The sequence below is a fragment of the Homo sapiens genome, chromosome 7, assembly GCF_000001405.40.
Source record: "Homo sapiens chromosome 7, GRCh38.p14 Primary Assembly".
NCBI classification, from domain to species: domain Eukaryota; kingdom Metazoa; phylum Chordata; class Mammalia; order Primates; family Hominidae; genus Homo; species Homo sapiens.
In genome coordinates, this window is record NC_000007.14 from 125322600 (window position 1) to 125338019 (window position 15420).

A 15420-nucleotide genomic window follows, 5' to 3' on the forward strand; every position below is an offset into this window, starting at 1 on the left:
ACACATGGGGATTACAATTCAAGATGAGATTTGGGTGGAGACGCAGCCAAACCCTATCAATTATATTCCTGGGACTCCTTTATATGGGCCTGACTTTCTATGAGGCAACTTGCATATAAAGAGCTTTCCCATGGTACATTATGTAAAGTGTTGGAGCTAGCCACAGACCATAGAAGACCTACTAGTGCTGGCAACAACCTGTGGCCATCCATTGGCCAGTCCTTTAGGTCTCCATTCTACCCATAATTATCACCGTTAAGGTAGAGATGAGATTGGGGAAGGAGTGAGAAAGAGGATGGTAAAGGCCATCTAGCTGAATATTTTAACAGTTTTCAAGTATTTTTTTTGACTTACTTAAATTTCAATTAAATTTTATGTTAATTTTAATTTAGTGGATATATAAAACAGTTGCACATATTTATGGGGTACCTGTGAACTTTTGACGAATGCATACAATGCGTAATGATCAAATCAGGGCAATTGGGATATCTAGTGCCTCAACATTTATCATTTCTTTGTTTTGGAAACGTTTCAAATCTTCCCTTCTAGCTGTTTTGAAATATATATTAAATTATTTTTAACCATACGCACCCTATTGTGCTATCGAATGCTACAGCTTATTCCTTGTATCTAACTGTATTTTTGTACCCGTTAACCAATCCCTCCTCATCCTCCCCTCCCCACTATGGCTCTCAGCCTCTGGCAACCACCATTCTATTCACTACCCGCAAGGATCAATTTTTTTAGGTCCCACATATGAGTGAAAACATGCAATATTTGTCTTTCAGTGCCTGACTTATTTTACTCAATAAAATGTTCTTCAGACTCATTCCTGTTGCCACTTATAAATAAGATTCTAGTCTTTTTTATGGCTGAATTATTTTCTATTGTGTCTCTATGCCGCATTTTCTTTACCCATTCATCTGTTAATGGATACTTAGGTTGATTCCATATCTTGGTTATTGTGAAGGCAACTGAAATAAACATGCAAGTGCAGACATTTCTTTGATATAAGAGAATTGAAAGCATGATATAAAAATATTTCCTGAATGTGTTTTGTATTTTATGTAACAATAATAAATATTAATATATATATTTCTATAAACTATTATTAAAAAAACACTAGAAACGTTAGGTCTAAGCCTAGGAATCTAGGAGTAGAGGCCTTGTGGAAAACCAAGGAATAGGTGATAGTGCTCCTCAGGCCACACATTACACAAAAAGTTTTTCACATATTCACTGTTCAGGACAGGATCATAGCAAATAGAAGATCATAGCAGATCTTCTATTTCCACAAATGTATTCCAAATGGAAAAGATGAATTCTAAGCATGCCTATTAGATCATTTTACTTACTAACCATACTTTAATACTAGTTCAATGAATGGTTATTGGTAAGTACTTTTTCTAAATCACTAGTAATATTTTGGAAAGCACTCCTAAAAACTGCTTTACCAGACAAAAATTAAAAAGGTAATTGTTTCCAAGTCCTTCAATTGTTTTAGAATGCTGGTCATCTTTGACAAGCCACCTAAAAAATACCTGTCTTAATCATTTCCTTCTGAAGACAAGCAATGAACAATCCATTGTGATTTTACTCAAGCATAGCTTGTTTCCCTGCCTTTCTACTTAAAAATATTTTAATATTAACAGGTCAAATTGTAATATAAAAAACAATAATCACTGTGAACACAAAATGATAGTTGTAGAAAACACCACCACTATTATTTTGTATTCCTCTCTACAACTTCTTATCACATAAACAACACTCCGTGTAAATTGTTTTAACGCTTGTCTCCCCTATACTCAATGGATTCCTTGACAATTAAGAATTGGCTTTTATGTCTGAATTCTGAGTGCCTAAAAATATTCGATACATGTGACTGGAAAAAGAAAGAGAAAGCAAAATAAAGGAAAATTTCATGATTGAAAGAAAATCATCTTACAGTAGCATTCCAAGAGAAATCTCTAATTGTTTAGAACTGTTGCTTTATGTTTTTAATCCCCAACTTGTTTATTAAATTTATAAAGTGGACTTGTGTGGTTGAAAGAATAATGAGCTATTCCTTGGGAGACTTTGAGTGTGGGTATCTCCAAATATCCAAACACATTTTTAGTTTTAAACATGATACTATTTTATAATTTTATAAGTTGATAATGAGAATAAAAATATTGGATGTTTGGTCTAAAATCACAGAGATAATATAGTTCACACTGGCTTTCTGAAATTTTATTTGTGCCTGGCAATAGAGTCACTACATTATACGTATTATGTCAACCTCCACATTGATCCTATAATGGAGGTTTAGTTTAGTTTTAATAGTCTTTTGCCATTAAGCTATAGGACCTTTAAGTAACTTAAGTAAGTGATGGAGCCAGGATTTGAATCTGAGCAGCTGGAATCTACAGCCTACATACTGAGATTAGATTGCAATGTTATATGAATAAAAGTTAAGCCTAAAATGTTGAGAGCAATATAAAATAATGGAAACATTTAGCGTTTTATCTTTTACTTTGTAAATGTAAAGCATTGGTTCTTAAATTTAATATGTTGTATATTCTAGGGTGTTATGTGACATTTCAAGAGTCAACAGAGTATTTATCTAAAAAAACTGTATGTATTATTCAAACAGGTGCATAGATTAAGAAACATTTAATTGATAAATAGCCCTCAATCAAGCAAATCTGGCACCTACACATTTAGCTTTCTTTATTTAAAAGGTAAATATAACATATTCACATAGTGCTCTCAAATCAGACATTAACTTTTTGTGATGAATATATAGAAAGGAAAGACATCTCTGCTGGTGTGAAAGAGGTTTTTGGAAAACTTCTCACTTCTGCTTCTCACTGTAGCAATCTAACTTCTAGTAGACCATTTCTTCCTGAGTACAATTAGAAAAGCTAGGTAGTACATTCAACACAATGCAAACAAACCAACAAAAATATGTGTTAAAGTATTAAGGAATTCAGTTCAAGTCGAAGTGACTCAAACAGCTTTGTTTTATAAGCAACGGAGCTGGAGATTTGATTCCATCAAATAAGAAAGGAAAAACTGATTTTTGTATTACTAATTCCTCAGGGCAAGATTGCTGAATGTCAAGAGTGTGTGCTTTGTGTTAAAAGACATGAAATCAGCAAGTTTTCAAGATCAATTTGCAGGACCAATCCCCAATTCCCAATTTTCTAATTCAGCTTGTCTAGCAATATGCTTTGTGCTTCTTTTGGGGACATAGAGACAATCAGGACAGAAGTTTAGCATCTTATTAAGGTGACAGTGAGAATTGTTAATGATAAACAAGTAACACCAAACGTGAAACTTTAAGAATATTGCTACAGTTATTTTTTAAATTTTTTTATTTTTTATTTTTTTTGAGACGGAGTCTTGCTCTGTCGCCCAGCCTGGACTGCAGTGGCGCGATCTCTACTCACTGCAAGCTCCGCTTCCCGGGTTCACACAAGTTCCGCCTCCCGGGCTCACCCCATTCTCCTGCCTCAGCCTCCCGAGTAGCTGGGACTGCAGGCGCCCGCCAGCAAGCCCGGCTAATTTTTTGTATTTTTAGTAGAGATAGGGTTTCACTGTGTTAGCCAAGACGGTCTCGATCTCCTGACCTCGTGATCCACCCACCTCGGCCTCCCAAAGTGCTGGGATTACAGGCGTGAGCCACTCCGCCCTGCCTATGCTTCTGTATTTTCAGAGAATTTCAAATATTGCTAATATTGAGAATTATTATGATACATTAAAAAGATCAGGGCTTCTTGAATGACAAGATCTAAAAGATTCTGTTTTTTAATTGATAAACTTCCCAATTAGTTATAAATGTGTTCTTTTTCTTTGATAACATGTACATGTATTGACACATTAATATCTTGAGAATCCCTAATCAGGTTTATAAAATATTTTGCTTTATTGTAAAATGAGATACTCAGAATTCTATTAAATGTGCTTAATAATTTAAATGTTTGCATGTAATAATTTTGCCATTATTCAAAATTTGGAATGGCATTTATTTTCATGAACTGATGAAGTATTTCTCTTTTAAATACAACATCTTATTTTTGTTTTAAAATTCTATAGCTTTCTGGACTTTTGGACATTTTACCTCCTAAAATATACCAAATATCAGTAAATCAGAAGTTTCTATACATAATGGAGAAGGTAACATATTTCAAAAGTGAAAATGCTGACCACAATCCCCAAAAGAAGCAAATGAGAATTCCACACCGGCACGTCACTGGGGAGAGCAAACAAGATCATGTTGTATTTTGTAGTTCAGCAACGTGTAAAACATCACTTGCTGTCTTGAAAGCATTCCACTGGGGAGAGCAGGAATGGCTTGCTGACAACCCCATCTTGTAAGATCATGGAAATATCCTAGGTTATTTCCAAATGTTTATAGGCATCATTTAAAGGCGTGCAGCTGTGTTTTTACCTGTGGTTTCCACCTGTCACGCTATAATTGCTTTAGAATTAACACTCTCTAAGAGGAAGTAAGGATTCTTAAGAGATGTATTTGGTCCCAAATTAAACAGAGATGTGCGTAAACCCACTCATTTTCCCATTAAGAAGAAAGCCATAAAGGAATGCTCCTCTGCTCTTGGCAGATGCTGAAAGAAACTCATGAGTTACTCCCAGGCTGCCTTGCCATAATCTTATGGAAAAAATGATTATCTATTTCTTAAATTTACAGCATTTAAATTATGATGCCCTTTAAGTAAAGACCAACATTATCATCAGGGAAAGATGGGTTAACTGTGTTATCCATTATGTAACGAAAGACCAAAGGTGAAATATTGCATTTAGAATTTCCAATGAATCAACAAAGCTTTAAGATTTAGGTCCCATCTCCCAAAATTATCCAATAAGCTCATTAAGTCTTTTGAGGAATGGTAAAAGTATAAACAGAAAAGCAGACTAGCAATAATTATAGCTTTATACATATGCTTAATTGGCAGGTGAGAATTCTACCCCTGAACGACCCAGGCACTAGTACATATACTTAATTAGAATGAAATGCTTAAATCATGCATCATAATGTAGCATGATTTTAGAATTTCATGAAGTGTTTTAGGTTTTTATGTTAAATGTGAACATTAAAGCATAGCTAAATGTTGATTTAATGCGAGAATTAAAATAGATATAAAGAAAAAAAGAATAGGCCAGATTCGTGAGGAGAATGTCCTCCTTGCTGCTACTTCAATTCCTAAGTAGGAAAAACACCCTTTTGTAACTACATCTTGTACATATGTATTTTAGTTGAAATGTGTCAGAACATTTTCATTGCAAAACAGGTTAACTAGCTATCTCTGTAAATATATTAGTTTTTATTTTCCATTTTGTGGTATCTACATTCTAGAACTAAGCCTAGAATTAAGGTGAGAACCAGCCATTATTAAATTTATATTCTACACCAGACACATCGTATCTTGCATTTTGTCGTTCATTTACTCACCTTCTGTAGATCTGGAAATTATTTCTCCTTCCACCCAATAAATAATAGAGTTTCCCAAAGCTCACTGAGTGCCTTTGGTTACTCTCTTTAACCACTTGGAGATTTCATATAGTAAATTCAATCCCTACATTTATGGGAATGATTTATGCATTCTGCTCTGATATATTTAACGAGTATCTTCTATCAGTCAAGCTCATTAAAATTTCTGACATAGAAGCTGCTCTGTCAAGCTTTTCCATTTTCATCAATGGTACTGTGATTCTTTCAGGTTTGATAGTTTCAGGAGGCCCTACTTGCAAACATAGATCAATTAAATAAATCATGTATTTTTAAATATTCACTATTCACATGCCATTTTGGCTCATTAAAAGGAGTAGAATAGAATTAATTGAAGAATAAGGGAGATCTCTGTAGAAGTTAGGCTTTGTAAGTCTTACATTTTAAAAGGTTTAAATGCATGCCATGGGAATATGGAATTGCAGATTGAGACGAGAGAATCAAGGGGCTCTTTTTAGAGAACACACCATTTGATTTGGGGTTATGAAAATGAAGTAAAATGTTAGTAGCCAGGGGAAAGTGGGAAAAATATTTCAGGTAAAGAGTGGAGTTTCAGCAAAACCCAGAAAATTCAAAGCATCAGGAATATACTGGCTGGAGCAAGGGGCCATTGATAGGCATTACCAGCAGACAAGATGAGAAAGAAATATTGGAAGTAGGTTGAAGATAGCCTTAATTATTTCCTAAGTAGTTGACTTTATGAAATAATAATGGGGAGTTAAGAAAGAGAGGGATGTAATACAACATCTTTTACAATCATACCTCTGGCAGTTGTCATGGGTTGAATTGTGTTCTTCACAAAATATGTTGAAGTCCTCATTCCAGTTCCTATAAATATAATTTTATTTGGAAGAAGGGTCTGTCTTAGTTCTGGCTGGGTGTCATAGTATCATAACTGGGTACCACATACTGGGCTACTTGAGAAAACAGAAATTTATTTCTCACAGTTCTGGAATCCGGAAGTCTTAGATAAGGGTGCCAGCATGGTCATGTTCTGGTGGAGGGCTCCCTTCCATGTTGCAGAATTCTGACTTCTTCTGGTGTCCTCACATAGCAGAAGGGGTGAGTTAGTTGCTCTCTGGTCTCCTTTATAAGGGCACTAATCGCATTTATGAGGGCTTCCCCCTCATGACCTAATTGCCTCCCAAAGGCCCCACTTCCAAATACCACTCACATCCATCAGGGATTAGATTTCAGCACAGAGATTTTGAGAGGAGATAATATTCAACCCATAACAATGTCTCTGCAGAGGATCAAATTAAAATGAGGTCATTAGTGTGGGTCCTAATCCATTGTGACTGGTATTTTAATACAAAGACAAAATTTGACATAGAAATAGATATAACAGGAAATGGTGTGAAGACACAGAGAAAATATCATCTGTAAGCCAAAAAACAAATGAGGCTACCAGAAACTAGGATTGCTGCATAGAACAGATTCTCCCTCACAAACCTGAGAAGGGGCGAAGGAAGCTGACATCTTGATTTTGTACTTCTAGAGTCCAGAACTTTGAGACAATAAATTTATTTTGTTCGCGCTCTCAACTTGTAATACTTTATTTTAACATCCCTAGGAAACTAACACAGACATCATGTAGATCATGGATGTAAGGCTTTGAAACTTGAGGCAGAAAAAACAGGTAAGTACAGTCACGCATCAATTAACAATGAGGATGTGTTCTAAAGAATGCATTTGTAGGTGACTGTGTCATTATAGGAACATCATAGAGGATACTTAAACAAACTTAGCCTACTACACACCTAGGCTGTATGATATAGCCTATTGCTCCTGGGCTACAAACCTGTACAGCATGTTACTGTACTAAATACTGTAGGCAATTGTCACACAATGGTAAATATTTTTGTATCTATACATATCTAAACATAGTAAAGGTACAGTAAAAATACAGTATTTAATCTTATAAAATGACATTTGTATGTGCAATTTTCTGTCATTGACTTAAACATTATGCAGGGCATAATGTTTGACTAAAACATAATCTTTGCCTAAAACAGTTATGCAGGCCATGACTATAATTGTAATAGAATCCTGAAAAATAATTCAACTTACAATTTTACAGTGGTGCAAAAGTGATACATCTTCAGTAGAAACCTTATTTTGAATTTTGAATTTTTCATCTTTTCCCAGGCTAAGGATGTGTGGTTCCATACTCTCTTGCAATGCCGGGGGGCAGCAACTGAAGCTACCAGTCAGGCCACAAGATTATGAGGGTAAACAACTGATATTCTGCAGTGCACTGTATTGCCAGAAGATTTTGCCCAAATGTAGGCTAATGTAAGCATTCTGAGGTTCCATACTCTCTTGCAATGCTGGGGGGCAGCAGCTGAAGCTACCAGTCAGGCCACAAGATTATGAGGGTAAACAACTGATATTCTGCAGTGCACTGTATTGCCAGAAGATTTTGCCCAAATGTAGGCTAATGTAAGCATTCTGAACACGTTTAGGGTAGGCTAGTCTAAGCTGTGAAGTTCAGTAGGTTTGGTATCTTAAATGTATTTTCAGCTTACTGATGGGTTCATCTTTATGATGATGTAATCCTGTCATAAATTGAGAAGTAACTGTAGATTGGGAATAAGTGAAGATATCACCAGATGTAGGAATGAAAAAGGTGGCCTATATATGAGAAACATTTTTATTTATTTATTTAACTTTTATTTTAAGATCAGGGGTGCAAGCATAGGTTTGTTACATAGGTAAACTTGTGTCATGAGGGTACAGATTATTTCATCATTCAGGTATTAAGGCAAGTACCCATTAGTTATTTTTCTGATCCTCTCCCTCCTCCCACCCTCCACCTTTAAAAGGCCCCATTGTGTGTTTTCCCTTCTATGTGTCCATGTGTTCTCATCATTTAGCCCCCACTTATAAGTGAGAACATGTGGTATTTGGTTTCCCATCCCTATGTTAGTTTTCTAGGGATAATGGCCTCCAGCTCCACTCATGTCACTGCAAGGGACATGATCTTGTTCTTTTTATGGCTACATAGTATTCTATGATGTATATGGATCAAACTAGGAAGCTAAAAGTCATTTGTGTGCTTTCTTTCCTTTACTTCCTCCACAATTAATTTACCAATAGTCTTATATTCTTCATTAAATTTAAGTAAATTTAATAAATTTGTTTATTTAATAATAAAGAAAATAACTTTTCATTTTCTAATTTGATCCACTTAGTTCAATGATTAAAAGGTGGCAAAAATGAAACGTTCAGAAGAAATCACCTTGGAATGTGAGAAGAGAAATTATTTTAGAAATGCTTTATTTTGAAGTTACTGTGAGCTATTTGGTTTGTTGTTTTCAAAGAAACTTGAAAAGAAAAAGAAGATTTTTACTGGACATAGAGATTTGAGTTTCATTAACATCTGAATTAATGAGATTGCATAATATGGAGTGAAGTGACAATGGCTGAGGGAAAGGAAAAACAATACTTAAAGGTCAGCTGGTAGAGAAGGGAGTTAAAAAGACTTAAAAGTAGTCAGCAAATAGGAGAAGTGCTAAGGAAGCCAAAGAAGTAAGAGTTCCAAGACAAATGGAAAGAGAAACTATTCCAATCAATAGAAATCCTCCCTAAGTCGTTTTATGAGGCCAGCATCATCCTGATACCAAAACCTGGCAGAAACACAACAAAAAAAGAAAATTTCAGGCCAATATCCCTAATGAACATTAATGTGAAAATCCTCAGTAAAATACTGGCAAACCGAATCCAGCAGCACATCAAAAAGCTTATCCACCACAATCAAGTCGGCTTCATCCCTGTGATACAAGACTGGTTCAACACATGCAAATCAAGAAATGTAATCAATCACATAAACAGAACCAATGACAAAAAGATGCAGAAAAGGCCTTCAACAAAATTCAACAACCCTTCATGCTAAAAACTCTCAATAAACTAGGTACTGATGGAATGTATCTCAAAATAATGAGAGCTATTTATGACAAACCCACAGGCAATATCATTACTGAATGGGCAAAAACTGGAAGCATTCCTTTTGAAAATGGGTACAAGACAAGGATGCCCTCTCTCACCACTCATATTCAACATAGTGTTGGAAGTTCTGGCCAGGGCAATCAGGCAAGAGAAAGAAATAACGGGTATTCAATTAGGAAAAGAGGAAGTCAAATTGTCTCTGTGTGCAGATGACATGATTGTATTAAGAAAACCCCATCGTCTTGGCCCAAAATCTCCTTAACCTGATAAGCAACTTCAGCAAAGTCTCAGGATACAAAATCAATGTGCAAAAATCACAAGCATTCCTATACACCATTCACAGACAAACAGAGAGCCTAATCATGAGCGAACTCTCATTCAGAATTGCTACAAAGAGAATAAAATACCTAGGAATCCAACTTACAAGGGATGTGAAGGACCTCTTCAAGGAGAACTACAAACCACTGCTCAATGAAATAAAAGAGGACACAAACAAATGGAAAAATATTCCATGTTCATGGATAGGAAGAATCAATATTGTGAAAATGGTCATACTGCCCAAAGTAATTTATAGATTCAATGCCATCCCCATCAAGCTACCAATGACTTTCTTCACAGAACTGGAAAAATCTACTTTAAATTTCATATGGAACCAAAAAAGAGCCTGCATTGCCAAGACAATCCTAAGCAAAAAGAACAAAGTTGGAGGCATCATGCTACCTAACTTCAAACTATGCTACAAGGCTACAGTAACCAAAGCAGCATGGTACTGGTAAAAAAACAGAGATGTAGACCAATGGAACAGAACAGAGGCCTCAGAAATAACACATCTACAACCATCTGATCTTTGACAAACCTGACAAAAATAAGCAATGGGGATAGGATGCGCTATTTAATAAATGGTGCTGGGAAAACTGGCTAGCCATAAGTAGAAAGCTGAAACTGGATCCATTCCTTACACCTTACACAAAAATTAATTCAAGATGGATTAAAGACTTACATGTTAGACCTAAAACCATAAAAACCCTAGAAGAAAACCTAGGCAATACCATTCAGGACATAGGCATGGGCAAGGACTTCATGACTAAAGCACCAAAAGCAATGGCAGCGAAAGCCAAAATAGACAAATGGGATCTAATTAAACTAAAGAGCTTCTGCCCGGGAAAGGAAACTACCATCAGATTGAACAGGCAACCTACAGAATGGGAGAAAATTTTTGCAATCTACCTATCTGATAAAGGACTAATATCCAGAATCTACAAAGAACTCAAACAAATTTACAAGAAGAAAACAAACACCCCCATCAAAAAGTGGGCAAAGGATATGAACAGAGACTTCTCAAAAGAAGACATCTATGTAGCCAATAGACACATGAAAAAATGCTTATCATCACTGGTCATGAGAGAAATGCAAATCAAAAGCACAATGAGATACCATCTCATGCCAGTTAGAATGGCAATCATTAAAAAGTCAGGAAACACCAGATGCTGGATATAACGTGAAGAAATAGGAACGCTTTTACACGGTTGGTGGGAGTGTAAATTAGTTCAACCATTGTGGAAGACAGTGTGGCGATTCCTCAAGGATCTAGAACTAGAATTACCATTTGGCCCAGCAATCCCATTACTGCATATATACTCAAAGGATTATAAATCATGCTACTATAAAGACACACACACACGTATGTTTATTGCAGCACTATTCACAATAGCAAAGACTTGGAACCAACCCAAATGTCCATCAATGATAGACTGGATTAAGAAAATGTGGCACATATACACCATGGAACACTACGCAACCATAAAAAAGGATGAGTTCACGTCCTTTGCAGGGACATGGATGAAGCTGGAAACCATCTTTCTCAGCAAACTATCACAAGGACAGAAAATCAAACACCACATGTTCTCACTCATTGGTGGGAGTTGAACAATGAGATCACTTGGATACAGGGCAGGGAACGTCACAAACCAGGCCCTGGGCCTGTCAGGTGGGGGGCTGGGGGAGGGATAGCATTAGGAGAAATACCTAATGTAAATGATGAGTTGATGGGTGCAGCAAACCAACATGACACATGTATACCTATGTATCAAACCTGCACATTGTGCACACGTACCCTAGAACTTAAAGTATAATAATAATAAAACAAAAAGAGTATTGAGGCTTCAGGTATAGAAACAGCCTCAAGTTTTAGCTTTGATGATGTTAGCAGCAATGGTGATAATGGGGGATTTGGGAGAGAAAATTCTGTCTCAAGCACCTCGCTGCTCTACTCCTCTTCCACTCAGGCATTGGCAATGGCAGTGGTGGTGGTGGCATACTGATGATAATGGTGCTGATGATGGTGGAGATGGTAGTTATGGTACAGGTGCTGATGGTGGTGGTGGTTATGGTGACGGTGGTAGTAATGGTTGTGATGGTGATACTGATGGTGTTTGTGGCAATGGCAGTGCTAGAGGTAGAAGCAGTGGTGGTAATAATTAGTGTGTTATGTATGGCCTTAAAGTTATCAAAGCATTTTTCCACATTTTTTCATGGTAGAAAAGAAAAAAAAGTAACAGTAGAGAAGAACAAAATTTAAAGATTTGATATGCATTTTGCTGGATCTATGAGACTTGAAAGTGAGTTGGATATATGAGTTAAAGAAAGAGAAGACTAAATAATAACTGTAGTTCTTTGGCCTTTTAACTAAAAACACTCAAGTGTTCAGGTAGAAGAGTATGTAAATATTATATAAAATATATGTGTCTAGTGTGAAATAAATGAAACCTCTGCTTATGGAATTCAAACTTTTTGATCATACAAAAAAAGTTGTTACTAAACACCTATTATAAGTTTGATTTTGTGTCACTGATTAGGGATTAAAGACATATATGAGATATAGCTCCTACCTAGAAAGGACTCATAAACCTAAGAGATAGTTATATAAATAGCTATCTTGAACTGCAATAGATTTTCCTAAAAAAGCATATATAAGGACTTATGAATATCTGACATAGTAACTGCATAATTGTTAAATGTCTTTTGTTCGAGATTTAAACTGGAAACTTCTTTAGAGAAGGTCATTTTTTTAAACTTCCTTGTTGACCTCACAGTACCAAGAAAAAACTGCAAGACATATAATTATAGTCCAAAATACAGAAGTTTGGAAGTCTAGAGCTGTATATTCATTTAATAACCAATGTATGCTTTCCAATAGCGATGTAAAGAGCAAATTCTGAGTATAAACTTCTTTGTAAGTGCTTACTTGTTCTTTTGCAAAGTCCAAAATAATCATCGGGAGAAGAATGGCCTCTTCTTCAACAAAAACACCACAAAACAGTTGGTACCATTAAACACAGTTCCTCCATCTAGAAAACAAGGTAAATGGCTAATAATAAAAGGCTAAGTAAAAAGGTATGTGTTTTATGTATTAATATTTGGGTAAAACGAAATTTACTTAAGTATTTATACTGATTTTTACCATCCTTCCTTAAAAAGTTCTAAATTCTAGTTTAACTCTTTGTTTAAATGGGTTAAAATAAAGCTGTTCAAGACAGTGCCTCTGTATCCCACTAAGACCAGAACAAGCAGTGCAGGTGTCCTTCAAAACTAGAATGCAGCCAAGTATGCAAATATTCTCTCATGCTGAGAGAGGACATGCAAGTGACCTGATCCTCTGGCCAACTGGCAATGGCCATGTTGGCAGATTCACTGATTTTTTTTCCTTTTGCTAGAAGGGAAGATAAGAATATTCCTAGATAGACACACACACACACAAACACACACACACCCTATATATATAGTGATATATATATGATATATCTGATATATATATATATATAGAGAGAGAGAGAGAGAGAGAGAGAGAGAAAGAGAGAGAGAGAGAGTTACATGTATTGCTGCATAGCTTGCTTGTCAATTTTAGTAGAAGAAAGTCCTAAAGTTAATCGGCTTTGGCCTCATTATCACAGTTAGTGGAAATCATTAGAGTGGGCTGCAGGGAAAACAAGGATAATTTGTCCATCCAAGAAAAGGAATTAAACATTGCAAAATAAAAACCATAACACTGCAGTGTAATGGGATGAAAAGACTAAACTGTATAGAAATGTTTTAGATCTAAACAAGAAATGCACAAAGTAACATATTCCTAAATTAAAACTTTTCTTGATTCTTCAAAATTCAAGTTAGTTACTTTGTTAAGAACCATGACATTTGTCATGACCTTAAATTTGTGGTTTTACTATTCTCCATATGTCTTTTTTCTTTTTTCTTAACATTTAAACTGACTCCTTCATACTTTACTATAAAAGACATTTACAAAACAGATACTCTTTGCAAGAGTTTTAGACAAGTTCGCAGCCTGAAGCGCTGAACTCTATTTGCTAGATATATAATGGAATGTTTTAATTTCTAACCTGAAGCAGCTTACCCAAAGATTTAAAATGCTTTGGGGATTAATCTATTGTTCAAAAACGCTTTTCAGCAGAACCATTTAAGAATGACCCTAATGAATAAATGCAAGGATTTTGTTAGGCCAATCATGTTAACGTAAAAGGCTATTTTTGCATTTGACCCAACTCTGACAAATAACCAGTCTTAACTAAACCTCAGTCTTCTTTATTTAAGAAATAATCTTCCTCTACTTAAATACAGTACCTAAGTACTTCTCTCAAATTTACAGTTACTCCATAGAATAACATGAAGGCAAACAAATAAATATGTTCGGAGATGAGTTATGATAAGGCAATTAGGCAAAAACCTATAAATATGTGTATCAAAATCATATAAATGGTTATGCATGAATCTTGGATTAGTCATATTTATCTGGATTTGGGACTGGTCTGGAAGAATGTCTGAATCTTGGATTTCACCTACTTGGTGTGATAACTTCAGAAAGCCTAGTTATCTCTAAGATTTGTTTTCTCATTTTTATTGTCTTCCTCTGCTTTTCTCTTCCCCACCTTCTTTCCTCTCTCTCTCCTTCCTTGCATATTATATTGCAGAGAGTTGCACAGTAAAATAGATGGTGTATCTGATAATGATAAGTGCTATGTGGAGAAATATAGCAAGGAAAGAGATTGAAAGTGCTGAGAAGAAATGTTTGCTATTTTACACTAGGTGATCAAGGAAGTTTTTGCTTATTAAGAAAATGACAAGTGAGCAGACTCAAAGGAATTAAGGCATAAGGTTTATCAGGCTGTTTGGCAGAAGATCATACTAGAAAGAGGGAGCAATAAAGAAAATCTTTGAGTTAGAGAATGGTTGATGTGTTCAAGAAAGAGACAGAACTAGTCAATGAAGCTAGAGTGAAGTGAGCTGGGCAGATGATGCCAAAAAGTTAGTTAAAGGATATTGAATTATATGGTACAAAATTAGGTAGTCATATAGGTCGCTGTGATGACTTTAAGCTATCTGATTCTAATTTAAAATCCAAAGCAAGGTTTTACAAAGGAGAGTGAAATGTTTTAAATGACTCTGTCTTGCCTCTACACTTAGAACACCCTCTACAGGAGCAAGGCAAAAAATGTGAAAAATGATGATGGTCTAAAATTAAGGTGAAAGCCGTAGAGGTGGTGAGAATTGATTGGATTATGTTTGCATTTTGAATGTATTTCTTTTTAATAGTTAGATTTTTTGGAGTATTTTTATACTAAAAGATTGAGCAGAAAATACAAACATTATCAATATATTCTCTCTCCACATCCTGACAGATTCCCCCATATTGACACCTTGCATTAATATGGTACATTTGTTAAAAATGCTGAAAAAATGATAAATCATTATGAAATACAATCCATAATTTAGATTTGTGTTCTAAAGTCTTATGGGTTTTAAAAAGTGTCAACTATGAGAATATCATACACTAATTTGACTGCCCTAAAAATCCCCTGTAATCCACATATTCTTCACTTCCCCCGAACCCCTGTTAATCACTGATCTTTTAATTGTCCCTGTAGTTTTGCCTTTTCCAAAATGTCCTATAC

The 15420-nt window shown here is 35.4% G+C and overlaps 1 long non-coding RNA gene across 1 annotated transcript in view; it reads left to right on the forward strand.

Annotated features, from left to right (window-relative positions):
- Positions 1 to 15420, forward strand: part of LOC101928283 (uncharacterized) — a 194753-nt gene that overhangs the window by 138031 nt on the left and 41302 nt on the right. The window contains exons 4-6 of the long non-coding RNA NR_110188.1: positions 7083 to 7148; positions 7658 to 7804; positions 12654 to 12816. This is a non-coding gene — a long non-coding RNA (uncharacterized LOC101928283). The remainder of the gene's footprint in view (positions 1 to 7082; positions 7149 to 7657; positions 7805 to 12653; positions 12817 to 15420) is intronic.